The sequence below is a fragment of the Homo sapiens genome, chromosome 1, assembly GCF_000001405.40.
Source record: "Homo sapiens chromosome 1, GRCh38.p14 Primary Assembly".
NCBI lineage: Eukaryota > Metazoa > Chordata > Mammalia > Primates > Hominidae > Homo > Homo sapiens.
The window spans coordinates 97879917-97894686 of NC_000001.11; the positions used below are offsets into that span (position 1 = coordinate 97879917).

Consider the following 14770-nt stretch of genomic DNA (forward strand, 5'->3'; position numbering starts at 1 on the left):
AGAGGACTATATAATGCCTCAAGAAAAACTTCTATAATTGTTGAGTCCAATTATAACTCTGTTTTGGGTAAGTGAACATAAGAAACATATAGCCTATATATAGATAGATATCTATATATAGAGAGAGATATATGTATATATATCAATATATAGATAGAGAGACAGTAATGCAGGCTAGAAATATAAAGGAATCTTCAATCTAAAGATAGTATTAAAAGTAAGGAGATAACGAGATAACCAATGTAGTGACTATTTTAAAAGAAAGAAAGAGAGTTTGAGCTCTGGGCACTGAAATATCTAGGGATGAGAGGAGAAATAATCAACAAAGAAGTGAAGAAAAACAAGAAGGAGATGTCAGTGAGGTAAGAAGAAAACTTTTTCGTATCTCATCAGTTACTGGTTACTGGCTAGCTAGTGGGGATAAAAGTTCCAGCATCCTACTTGGGTCTTTATGAATTGAAAAACAAACCATATGTTTTGGTGACACTTTCATTCAATTATTTATGCCAGCATGAAGAGGATAATAACAAATACGTAAGGAGCAGCATTATTCAACCACACCGAGAATAACTTTCAACCCTAGCTTCATATTTCACTTTTGGGAATAAACCTTACTGCTCTGAGAAATTCATGAATGTCACAGAGAGTCTTCAAACTAACAGACATCAGTGCAATAAATCTGATCTTATAAATCGAGATTACTATTTTAACATAGATCTAAAGCTTTCATTTTATTTTTCTACTAATACTCATTACAGAAGACCTGAAATATACAAAAGTGCCAAAAAATATAATCAATATTAATATTTCATTTTTTTGTTCTTTTGTGCATATATATATAAAGGTATGGTTATGTGTAAGTGTACACAATCACTATTGAATACAGTGATGTTAAATCCTTTTTCCATGTAATGCAGATAGAATTTATCCAGATTATTATTTCAAAAACATCTTAATGACTGCACAATATACCACTGAATTAATTTACTCTAATTTGCTTAACCATGACCCACTGGTTGGAATTCAGTGGGATTTCCCCTACATTTGTCTCCATTGAGTAAATAATGCCTAAGATAATCCTCTTTGTGCTTAATTCTTTATCTATATTCCTAATTCTTTCCTTCAGATATGTTATTAGAAAATAAATTACTGGTGCAAGTGTTTGATAATTTTAAAGTATTGTTATGAACTGAACTATATCTCCTCAAAAATCTTATGTTGAAGTCCTAACCCCCACTATCTCAAAATGTAGCTATATTTGGAGAGAGAGTCTTTAAAGAGGTAATTAAGTTAAAATGAGGTTATTAGGGTATGTCCTAATCCAATATAGCCGATGTCCTTATTTGGACACACGCACACCCAAAGTGAAAAACTCAGGGAGAAGACACCATCTACAAGCCAAGGAGAGAGGTCTTGGAAGAAATCACCTTGATCTGGGACTCCTAACCTCCAGAACTGTGAGAAAATAAGTCTCTGTTGTTTAAGCCACCTAGTCTGTGGTATCTTCTTGTAGCATCCGTAGGTATAAATAGCATCCCTAGGTATAGCATCACAGGTCCAAATGAATATTGTCAAAGATATTGTCAAACTGCTTTTATAAATATTTGGGTCAATATATATTTGACAGAGAAAGTGGACCTCACTGTACCTTGGTTATTATTTTTAAAATGATAAAATAAACTCAATTTATAGGATCACATTATGAGATACAAATGCTAATTTCCATAAAATAACAACAACAGCAATCAAAATAAAGAAAGTCTCCATTTCGAAATAAAGTCCTGACCATAAATACTTTGAAAACTTATAAATGCGAGACATTAGGGAAGTCACATAGTGTCTCTTGATCATAGTTCTCAGACCTTTAAAAATTAGAGATTTAGGCTTGATAGTCTTTAAGGGCTTTCTAAGTTTAAAAATTATATCACACTCTGGGGACTGTTGTGGGGTGGGGGGTGGAGGGATAGCATTAGGAGATATACCTAATGCTAAATGACGAGTTAATGGGTGCAGCACACCAGCACATGGCACATGTATACATATGTAACTAACCTGCACATTGTGCACATGTACCCTAAAACTTAAAGTATAATAATAATAAAAAAAAGAAAAAAAACTATAATAAAAAAATTATATGATTCTTTTTTCAGTGTTATTCAATTGCTCTTATCATTAAACTGCGTCATGGCTTGTAAGTGGCCTATTCCTTGAACAATCTGAATCACACTGGTTTCCTTTTAGAGACCTCTACTAGAAGCATCATGATAGAAAACAAAGCTCCCAAAACTGGAACAAGAAAAACTGAATTCAAAATCCATGTCTGTAATTAAGTGACTATGGGATCTTTTCATGTAACATTGTTTCTCTGTTTCTTTTTCTTTTTTCATTCAAAAAAAATTGCCCAGTGGCTGGTGATAGAAAAACTTAAAATTAGATAAATACAAGCACACATGAGCACACACCCTCAGTTTCCATCCTCAAAGAGTTCATAATATAAGAAGGAGGAAAGAAGTACATAAACTAAAATCATACATTCTATAAGAAAGTATATACACGGTTCCAATTGAGCTAATGTTAAACTAATACTACTGTCTCACTCATTAATTTGGGAATGTTAATTTGGGGTAATCTGGGGAAATCAGATAAAAAGACATTTCTTTCAAAATTTAAAAACGTATATAACTTTAAGATGGAATTTCTAACATCACCTTTAAGGTTGTACTTATATCCGATCTATGGTGTCAGTTTCAGCTCTATAATCACCTCCTATATACAGTTAAACAAAGTTCTAGCAATAATCTCAGAGAAATGCTGTTTTGCTCCTACACCTCACCTGGAAATATTAGGTGTTCATAGAACATCTAATGTTCATATATTTTGTGAGGGTGTATTTTTAAAGTCCACAGATACCAGTGTATCTATAGCTTTCTTCATTTAGACTATATCTTTAACATGAAAACTCTTCTGTATCATTGTGTCATTAGGCAAAACAATTTTAAAACAAATTTTAAAGATTTTGAAAAAAGAAATTTTGGCACCAAACTAAATTTACAGGTTGCATATCCCTTATCAAAAATGCTTGACAACAGATTTGTTTCAGATTTGGGTATTATGAATTTTCAGATTTGGGTTACTCAACCTGTATATAATTTGTATTTCAGGAGATTTTTTAAAGCAGTGTAATTAAAAATACACTTTCAAACTTTTTCAAATATTAAATATTTAAAATATTTTTAAAATCACGGCTGTACTTTAATACCTTATTTCTAAGTGTATGTAAAATCTTGCCTTACAATGTGTGGAGTGAGGTAATTTTCAGCATGAAATAGTGTATCAGTGGTACTTACAAAGCAGTTCTTATCAGGATTTCTTTTCCAATGTTTCTTGTCTAATTTCTTGGCCGAAGTGGAACACAGAGTTGCATGAGTTTGTGTTCGAGGATTTAAAGCCAGGATACTCTAAAGACAGCATAAACAATGTGTAAATATATGGAAATATGTTGGCATTTGTTTAAACTTATTTTTATTTTATTTTTATTTATTTTGAGACACGGTCTCTCTCACTTTGTCACCCAGGCTGGAGTGCAGTGGTACAATCTCAGTTCACTGCAACCTCTGCCTTCCAGGCTCAGGCGATCCTCCCACCTTAGTCTCCCAAGTAGCTCGGACTACAGGCGTACGCTACCACACCTGGCTAATTTTTATATTTTTAATAGAGATGAGGTTTCGCCATGTTGCCCAGGCTGGTCTTGAACTCCTGGTCTCAAGCGATCCACCTGGCTCAACCTCCCAAAGTGCTGGGGTTACAGGTGTGAGCCACCATGTCTGGTAGCATTTTTAGGAATCAAACTTTATCTAAGATTTCCTCTTACAGGCCCCTAAAGAAAGGGTTAGCCAGGAAAGAAAACTTAGGAATCACAAAAAAAAAAAGATACATGTAAATCAGAAGAATGACCCCAAATTTGCAAGATTGTGTTTAATAAAATCAAGTGAGGAATCCTATATTTGGTTTTCCAAAAAAAAGTTCAGTATGGGAAAATCCTAATACAATGAAAATTTATATGGAAAAAGTGAGAAGATATACTTGTCTTAGAAAAAATCTAATAATGTTATCATTGATATAATGACATCATTATATCAATGTATATCATTATACATTGACAAAAAGCTAAAATATATGTTTAAAATGTTGCATGGCTCTCAAACAGCTTACATTAATAGACTAATATGGGGCAAAATATAAATCGAGTAATTGTTATTGTATTTTCTACTAATTAGCCAGAAGCAATTCTTGACCAGAAGAAAAACTTCAAGAAAAACAAATAAATATAATCAATAATGAACAACATACCATTATTTCACCAGAGAGGAGGAAACATGGTAGTAGCACATGCTTCTGTCTAACCAAATTAACATTATTACCTACCATCTTTCAATAATGATTATGTGTTGAAAAGTTAGATGCAACAGCTGAAGAAAAGCCTGGAGAAAAGATCTGGGAGAGACACAGTGTATTTCAGTAGGTGAAGAACTTTCACATGGAAGAGAGATTTAATTTGTTTTGTATTAACACAGAACCAAGGCTGTGGAAATTAATGGAGGAAGATTTGGATTCAGATATAAATTAAAAAGTGGCAGCTGAGATTGTATTAGAAATCATTCCAGCTGACATTACTGCAGTCATTTTAAATGATGTTCATTTCAAAAGTCTTCTTCCATGAAGTTACCCCTAACTAATCTAGATCCATTTTTCTGTTTCAGATCACTGAAACATCTCTACCACAGTATTTCAGTCTAAACAGTAACTGCTGCTTTAAGAATTTTCTTCCCTTCTAAACTGTGAATGTGTTGAGTTGCGGGATTCCTGACTTTTCAAAAATCTTTCAGTTTATGATATACAGTACCAGGTAGGTAGCATATGCTTATTCCTGTAAAATAGTAATTCAAAAATCATAAATATAATTTTTAATTCCTAGTACTCTTATAACTTTGAGTAAACCATTGATCTTTTTGATCTTTGATTTCCTCACATGCAAAATAGGGCAACACCTGAATCAGAAGTAAAGAATAAATGAAATGCATGATACAACATGTTTTCTAAACTACAAAAACCCTAAAAATTGAAGTGTAGTGAAAATGGAATCCAGAGGCTATGTGCAACAGTAATCCTCTGTCCATGATTTGTTCATGTAGTGGCCAAGTAAGAATTTGAAGGGGACCTGAGAATGCAATTCCTACTAGATTTAACCAAATCCAAGATCACCTTCCAAATCTAGATTCCATGATTCTTTAAAAATTATTGGGTCATGTTCATCATTTTCACATATAAAAATGAACTCTTATTGAGATCCACAGAGAACTATCAAAAAGACCACAATAAATGAACAGATAAAAGAATTATTATACTATTAACAACAGACACAAGCTAAAAATGTTATTTTCCACCTCTACTAATGTAATTCCACAATCAACATATCTAAAGTAATCATTTTCTAGGTGATATCTTAGCTGATTTTATAAGAGTATCACATGCTAATATGAAGAATTTAAAAATCATAAATGACTTTCTAAAATAAATGTTATACTTAGTATTCTTAGACAAGAATAAAATCAGAAAAAGTCACTTCATTTCATTCTGCATTTGATTTAAAGTGGTAATAACAATGCTTTGTGTTTTAAGTTTTTAGAGTTTAAAAGTTCAAAAGCTTTCACATCCATTATGTAACTTAACTTACAAACAGCTACTACTCTCTCAATACTTAGGATGAGCAAATAAATTGAGGGTGATTAAGTAACCTGCTTAAGATCTCACAGTTAATATGCAAAAAGAATTGAATTGGAACTCTGTTTTTCTGAGTATGGGACTTATATTGAACCTGATCCAAAGATGAGGGCTATATTTAAAAGTCACTTTTTGAGATATAAGGTAGGAAACATTTTTAACCACATGTTTAAATAATATCAATTTGCACCTGAGTAGCTCAATGAAAAATTAATTTCAAACCCTGTCTTGAGCAAGCCAGTAAACATGACCATTAAGAGGTCACCTCTGGAATGGTAGAGTAAGGACCTCTGCAGACTGACTCCCATAAAAATAAACATATAACTGCAAAAATAGTAAAAATGAAAACTCTTTGAAGTCTCTGGAAATTTGCCTTAAGGCAAACAGCAAATGAAGAAACAATAATACATGAAAATCTGCTAAAACTGGTAAAAGGAGTGAAGGTCTATGGCATTTGAAGTATAACCCACACCACTTCAGTCCAGTGTGACAGTCATTCTACCTCAGATGGGTATAGCTCAAAACACAGAGCTCGCTCTACCCCAGCCACCAGTTGAGGGCTATGGTATCTCCCAGAGAGGGGTAAGATGCCAGCATTTCTCATTTTCTCTCTCCCCCATGCTACACAGAGACAAAACTGCAACTGAGTGCAGCTGAGACTAAAGTGCAGCTGACAGGTCAGGAGTTCTGTTACTCCATCCAGCCCCCACTCATAGAGCCAAGGTTCTACCTCAGGAATATCATGCCAATAACACCAGGGCCCTGATTATCCTTGCCTCACCTCACTTACTGGGTAGAGATTGCACACAAGGAAGAGCAAGCTGAGAGGACTAGAGGCTATTGCCTATACCTAGTACTTTGCTCATAAAGCAGAAATTTAACTCTGAGAGAAGTGGGCCATTGTCACTATCCTCAGCTCTGGAGCAGTGGCCCAGAGATTTTTCCCAGAAGACACAAGCCATAAGAACAGAGAGGTCCCCCCAAAGGAACTGACTTTATTTGAACCTGTATGCAGGGAAGTTCAAACCTAAGAGTACTCTTATAAACAATAAAAATGTTCATGTCAAACAATTAAGAAGAGGGAGGTAGCTTCCTGAAAACAAAAAACTGAACCATAAGGCAGGTAGTTCATAAGGGAAACCCAGGGAAAGAAACATAAGATGAGTTCTCCTGGAGTTACAAAAAACCTCAAGGACTCACCTCAAAAACTACCACTGAAAAAAGGCCCAAATTTAACTGAATCACACTGTGGAACAACTCATATTCCACAGCAAAAGTAATAAAGAAATCAACCAGAAGCCACTGGAACTAAGATCTGGGTGTGACATTACTACAGGCAGACATCTTAAGAGAGAGATCAGAGAAAAAGGCAAAGAGACACCTGATAAAACCAGGGACACCCAAGAATGACTGCACATATCCAAGGCTGCACCCTGTGAGAATGACATCAGCGGTTCACACAGAGGAAAATGTACATCCCTAAATAGTATATCCAGGCCAGGCATAATGGGTCATGTCTGTAATGCCAGCACTTTGGGAGGCTGAGGCAAGTGGACTGCTTGAGGAATTCAAGACCAGCCTGGGCAACACAGTGAATCCCCATCTCTATAAAAAATACAAAAATTAGCCGGGCATGGTGGCATATGCCTGTGGTCTCAGCTACTCAGAAGGCTGAAGCAGGAGGATCGCTTGAGCCTGGGAGGTCAAGGATGCAGTGAGCTGTGACCATGCCACTTTACTCCAGCCTGGGTGACAAAGTGAGACTCTGCATTAAAAAAAAAAAAAAAAAAAAAAAAAAGTATATCCAGTCGCTAGTAACAAGTCGCCCTCCTCTAGAGGGGGTTTAGTGTCCGGCAAGAATAGCTACATTATGTAAGATGTTCAGTCTTCAATTTAAAAAAGTATGAGCCATGCAAAGAAACAGAATTGTGTGATCCATACAGACACACAAAAAAAGGAGACAACAGAAACTCCCATTAAGAGGGCCCATGTGTCAAATTTAACACTTTGATATGGTTTAGCTGCATCCCCACCCAAATCTCATCTTGAATTGTAGTTCCCATAATCCCCATGTGGTCATGGGAGGGACCCGGTGGGAGATAATTGAATCATGGGGCCAGTTACCCCCATGCTGCTGTTCTCATGATAGTGAGTGAGTTCTCACGATATGTGATGGTTTTATAAGTGACTTTTCCGTCTTTGCTAAGCACTTCTTCCTGCTGTCATGTGAAGAAGGATGTGTTTGCTTCCCCTTCTGCCATGATTGTAAGTTCCCTCACGCCTCCCCAGACATGCACAACTGTGAGTCAGTTAAACCACTTTCCTTTATAAATTGCCCAGTCTCGGGCAGTTCTTTACAGCAGCATGAGAACTAATACACACTTCAAAGCAGCCATTACAAGGAAAGTATGATGACAATGTCTTAGAGAGTACAGAATATCCATATACAGATATAAATCACTTAAATTATTTTAACAAAAACAACAAGCAGGCATTCTGGTCTTGAAAAATACAATAGCTGATATGAAACATTCACTAGAGTTCAATAGTAGATTTGAACTAGCAGAAGAAAGAATCAGCAAACTTAAAGACAGATCAAGAGAGATTACACAATCAGAAGACCAAAGAGAAAAAGAATAAAGAAAAATTAACAGAGCCTCAATGATATGTGATACACCACTGAGCAAACCAAAATACTGTAATGGGATTACCTGAAAAAGAAAAGACAAAGCAGGAGAAAATACAGAAGTTACACTGGCTTAAAATTTGCCCGATTTATTTTTTTTTTAATAAAGTAGAACAAGGTATATTACACTATACCTTCAGGAAGCTCAATGAATGTGAAGTATGCTAAATGTAAAGAGATCCACACAAAGAACATCAGTAAAAGGGCTGAAAGTCAATAGCAAAAAGAAAATCTTGAATGTAGCAAAAAAAAAATAATTCATCATGTAAAAATAGTTTCAATAAGTTTAACAGTGAATTTCTCATTAACAACCAGAGAGACCAGAGAGAAGTGGGATAAGACATACAAAGTATTAAAAGAAAAAAAAATGTGAACCATGACTCCTATACCCAACAAAACTATCTTTCAAAAAATACATTCCCAGAATAACAAACAATAAGAGAATTTGTTATTAGCAGATGTGACTTATAAGAATTACTAAAGGAAGTTCTTGGCCAGGCATGATGGCTCCCGCCTGTAATCCCAACACTTTGGGAGTCCAAGGCAGGTGGATCACCAAGGTCAGGAGTTCAAGACCAGCCTGGCCAACATGGTGAAACCCTGTCTCTACTAAAAATACAAAAATTAGCCAGGCATGGTCGTGGGTGCCTGTAATCCCAGCTACTCAGAAGGCTGAGGCAGGAGAATCACTTGAACTCCAGAGGTGGAGGTTACAATGAGCCGAGATCACGCCACTGCACTCCAGCCTAGGCAACAAGAGTGAAACTCTGTCTCAAAATAAATAGATAAATAAAAATGAAAATAAAAAGTGAAAAAAATAAAATTAAAGGAAGTTCTTCAGGCAGAAAGTAAGTAACCATAACTTACTATTCACACGAAAAAAACAAAGGTCAACAGTAAAGTATAGGTAATTATGAAATTATAATAGTATAAATGTATACTGTCAGACTAGATAAAAAGCAAGATGCAACTATGTTCTGTCTTTAGGAGACACACTTTAAATTCAATGACACAAATATGTTGAAAGTAAAAGATGGAAAATGACATATCATGCAAATAGCAGCAGCATGAAAGCTGCAGTGCCCATACTAATATCAGAACAACAAACTTTTAAAGAAACAAAAAAATTTACTAGAAATAAAGAGGAACATTTTATCATCATAAAGGCTCAATCTACCAGGAAAATATAACAATTATAAACATATATGTGCCTAACAACAAGGCCCAAAATACAAACAAATTTGAAAGGAAACAAATCTTTAAACAATACTAATTAAAGACTTCAATACTCCACATTAAACAGTGGATAGAACAACTAGGCAGAAGACCAAAAAGGAAACAGAAGACTTGAATAACAACTATAAATCAACAAGACCTAACAGACATCCATATAACACTCTAAAAGAGCAAAATACACATTCTTCTCAACTCTATATGGAATCTTCTCTAGGATATATTGTATGCTAGATGAAAAAACAACTTCTACTAACTTAAAAATATTAAATCATACAAAATAGTTCTCCCTCTTCAATGGAATAGAATTAGATATCAATAACAGAAAGAAATTTGGAAAATTCAAAAACAATATGATGAATACTGTAAACATTATGCTAAGTGAAAGATGTCAACTACAAATATGACATATTGTTGATACCATTTATATAAAATGTCCAGAATAAGCAAATCTATAGAGATAAAAAGTATATTAGTGGTTGCTCAGGCTGGCGGATTAGGGAGAAATGAGATGGCTACTATAAAAAGGATAAGTGATTTCTTTTTGGGTGAAGAAACCTGATTATGGTTATATTGGCACAACTCTGAATACACTAAAAAATACTTTGAATTCTATAATTTACATTGGTTAATTGTTGATTTGTGAACTGTATATCAATAAAGCTGTTACCAAAGTAAAACCCTATTAAATTCTACATTCAGTCGATTTAGCCATATACTTTATTCACTGTAATACCACTAAAACTTCCTTTATTAGCTCAATATAAATGTAACAAGATTATTTTTAGTAACTCCTAAATATTACAGAAATCATATTTCTTCAGTCTCTCAAGTTAGACATCTGTGTCTTTTTGAAGAAAAATATACAATAAAGCTTTAATTTTAAGTGGTGTATTCCTTATGATGAAATAATACTAACAGGACCTATTTTACAAAGCCAGTATTAGAAGATTCAAGTAATCTCATGCTTATAGAAAAAAAGTGAAAACATTTTCTTATTCCAGAATATAATGTTTGCTTATCTATTCAGTTTTCAACCATTACTAATCTCATCCATTAATTCAAATTGAGAAATAAAAAGACACATTTTTTTAAAGTAGTTATTCTAACATTTAAAGCAAACCAGCCAGGTAACATGCAAGAAAGATGGCTGCATTTATTTTAGTTTTTATTTCCATAATCCATATTGTGATAAATGATCATGTTTATCTATGTCAGCATAGCAATATAACTTTTGAGAATAAACATTCTGAATGTAATTTATTGGCTACTTATCACAGCTACTTTTCTTTCACATAGCATAAGTAGAAAGCATAACATAACATGAAATATTGGGTTAACCTTTTGCAAAAAGGCAGTGAGTTGAATTCAATGGATCTTGGGTAAAAATAAATTGGATTGTGCAAAATGGTTACCAAGGATTTGGCTTAATAATATCCCAAATGAAATGTGATATAAAATAAAAATACAAGACATGAGTGGTTCAGAGCTGTTAAAAATAATTTTCCAAAGCAAGACTTTAAAAAACTAAAAGTCAATATCATCAATAACTAAGCAGCTGACAGATAATACAGGAGAGTTCTAAATTGCATTTTTCCTAAGAAATGGCCAAAGGCACGTTCCAACAGGTCACAGAGTCCCCTCTCTGGATGAATTGAGCACTTTAAGAAGCCCATTAACCCTTTCAGATACAGGGTACATTACTTATACAGGGAGATTTTTCTCTCATCAAAGAATTTGACTTGTTTGGCTTTACCAAACATTTTCAGTAACACAATAAAGATACACTGGTTATTCCAGACGCAGAAAAAAAAATTAGAAAAAATTTAATTGTACTAATTTTACCTAGTTTAAGAAATGATGGAATATTATCCAGGGCCAAGTATAAATGAAATCAAATAAGAGTTATATATTGTCACCGTTTGGTCTGTTAACACTATTCTGTGAAGCAGTGGAATGCGGAAACATACAAACTAGAATTATACATCTAAAGAGAGTTTTTCTGTATTACCATTGAGGGCAAAAAAGAGAAGCCTGTATTGATTACAATCACAGGCCCTCATGTCACAAACAAAATCACTAAATCTTAGGCCTAAAACATTGGAGCTTCAGTATTATTCAAGAGCTTGAATTCCAATTGCAGGAAGCTACTTGACCAACATGTCCTCTTTCTTAACATGTGGTATTGTTTTATATCACAATAGTAATTATCCAAACATAGTGTACCATTAAGCTTCCTTTACCCTTTGCATTCGAACTTATAAACAAATTTTTCCTATTCAATACTGGTAATTACTTGCTATAATTCTGAGCCATTAAAATGATACACATGTTGCTGACATTTTGTACTTACATGCTTAAGATGATAAACTAAGTTTTGTCTTATTTAAATTATGCTTACATTTTTCTTTAATGGCTTATTCTGAGTTCTCTATAAGTTATCTCCTACTTTCCAATGCATCAAGTAAACAAATAATAATAATAATAAACATGTTTTTCCCATTTCTTTCATAATTGGACAGAAATACTTTGATTTCAATATAACATTGTGCTGTGGTGCCAATTTTTTATCAATAAATATTCTCAGCTAACAGAAAAACAGAAATATCTATTGATTAATGCTTTTGACGAGTATTTGTTGCCTTATCCAGGTAACAATCTAACTAAGGCTGGTCAGTGGAGAACTAAATTTTTCAGTTTATTTGCTTAACAGTCTCTTGTTTAAAAGCCCCAGTCTCAGCCAGTTATCCCACGCTTCTCCATGTCTCTCATTAGTCATAGTGTAGAGTGATTTAATTAATATCTCAGAAATTCACAAAGGTATCTTTGGTTCTTGAATAAGCTCAGAACTGATACGGCCCATCTCCTGCTAGGTAGGGAACAGAAGAGGAGAGAATGCAGCTTTATTTTGCATCCTAGGTTCACACTTGAGATACAATCAACCTTAGAGTCTGAAAATTTCAGAAACCCATGGTAATCAGTCCTGGTCAAAGACTTACATTTACCTAATAATTTTTTAAATGTACTTCCATTCTTTGCCCAGACACAGGTTTCTAAGCCCCTAGGTTGTTCTACTTTTCCAAGTAACTTATCATACTTTTTTTCCCATTTTACTAGCTCTGTACAAAGGCCAATTTTCCCTTTATGCACAGTGGGTAACTCACTGCAGTTGATTAAAAATTTATGAAGGAAAGAATCTCTGATAGTCCTAAATCTTACAACTTTCATTTTGTTAAGTATTCACTAAGCAATATGCATAGTGTTTGAGATTAAATTTGGGTTTCTATCTTAGCTCTACTATTCTTGTTGGTTATTTAAACTCTCAAGCTCTCTACTCCTTCAACTGTAAAATGGTGATTAGTAATAGTACTTACCCCATAGGGTTGTTGTGATGATTAAATAAGATAATGCAAAAGATGTTTAGAGTGGTGCATGCAGTAAGTGCTTACCACATGTTATCTATGTATGTAATAGAACTAGGTTTTAGCCACTATTAACCCAATGTATACTCATATTCCTATATTGTCAATTCTGAATGTATACATGGGAATCATATTTTTAAGTACAGGAATATAGAAAAAGGATGAAGACAACAGGTGAGAAAATATCTATAAATAAGGTAGTACAAAAAATAGAGATGTATCTCAGAGGAAACCAAATCACTGACTGAGTCATGGGTCTCTGAACTTATCATTGCCCTAAGCCCTGCAATTTCAAAGGCAGACTGCCTGAAAATACAATATGCTTTTTGCAAATTAATATGGCAGTGTGGAAGGGTCATGAAATTCAAAAACAGATTTTAATATCCATCGCATATATATATATATATATATATATATATATATAGCAATGGAGATATCATTTTATAATCCATAGAACTGTATATAACTCATGGGTCTTTGGTCCCAACATGTTTAGGTAAATTTACATTACATTTCCTTCCCAGGAAGGGCATGTCAGATGAAAAATGATGAATTTGTAAAACATCAAAAAATGTTATCAACTGAAAATAAATGAATCCCTTCAGAATGCTCATCATATCGCCTGGAATATTTGATTCATTTCTACTGAGCATATAGTTAACACAAATAGTTTACACATTTTAAAATATCATGTCTATTATGTCACTCTCACACTCAACAAGGTAAGGTGAGCCAGAGGAAGCTCTTCGTCTGTCTTTGCAAGGCCCAGTGTGTGACTCTCCTTCACTTCTAAAATACACACCACACAACAGGTGCCTAAATGATCTCTATGTGAAAAAAAAAGTCTTTTTATTGTCTTTCAGAAAAGATTGACAATTCAAACACAAGAATAATAACATCTGATATTAACCTCACAATTCTTAATACAGAACAGAGCATGCCAAAGGTAGTGACTAATTCTGACATAGACAATTTAGTCTGTTCAGGCTTTTATAACAGAATTCCATAAGCTGGGTGGCTTAAACAACAGATCTTTATTTCTCACAGTTAGAGAGGCTGGAAAGTCTAAGATCAAGGTGCCTGACAATTTGGTTCCAGGTAAGAATCCTTTTCCCTCTTCTGACTCACTCACAGCCACCTTTTTGCAGTGTGATCATGTTGCAGAGAGAGAGGATGAGAATGAGAGAAAGCTCTCTGTAGTCTTTTCTTATAAGAAGCACTAATCCCACTATGAGGGTCCCACCCTCATGACCTCATCTACCCCTAGCTACCTTCTAAAGGCTCCATCTTCAAATACCACACATTGGAAGTTAAGTCTTCAACATATGAATTTTGAGGGGACATAAACAGTTCATAACAGACAAGGAAAGGATTCCACCACCTGTGGAAGTATGCAAATACTATTAATATTGGGCATCAACTTAAAGTCACCTTTAGCCTAAGAGTTCAAATGGTACCATGTTGACTGTACCATTTTATTTTATCAAGAAGAAACTTCAGAATAACCAAAGGAGATATTTTAAAGTATTGCTTAATTTAAGAAAAGAAAAGAAAACAATATTACCAAATAATGTAACACTAGCTATTAATTATATATCTTTATTCTTTAAACAATTTAAACAGCAAAACATTAATAACATATATACTT

General features: G+C 34.0%; 1 protein-coding gene across 8 annotated transcripts in view; it reads right to left on the minus strand.

Annotated features, from left to right (window-relative positions):
* DPYD (dihydropyrimidine dehydrogenase) overlaps nucleotides 1-14770 on the minus strand; it is an 843317-nt gene that overhangs the window by 802174 nt on the left and 26373 nt on the right. For 6 of the 8 annotated variants that reach the window (XR_001737014.2, XM_005270562.3, NM_000110.4 and 3 more), the window contains 1 exon segment: nucleotides 3348-3458. The exons of the other annotated variants lie outside the window; for them this stretch is intronic. Coding sequence is in view for 4 of the 6 variants with exons in the window: in XM_005270562.3 (XP_005270619.2) it covers nucleotides 3348-3458 (111 nt within the window). In the remaining 2 variants the exon portion in view is untranslated. 8 annotated transcript variants of the gene reach the window in all.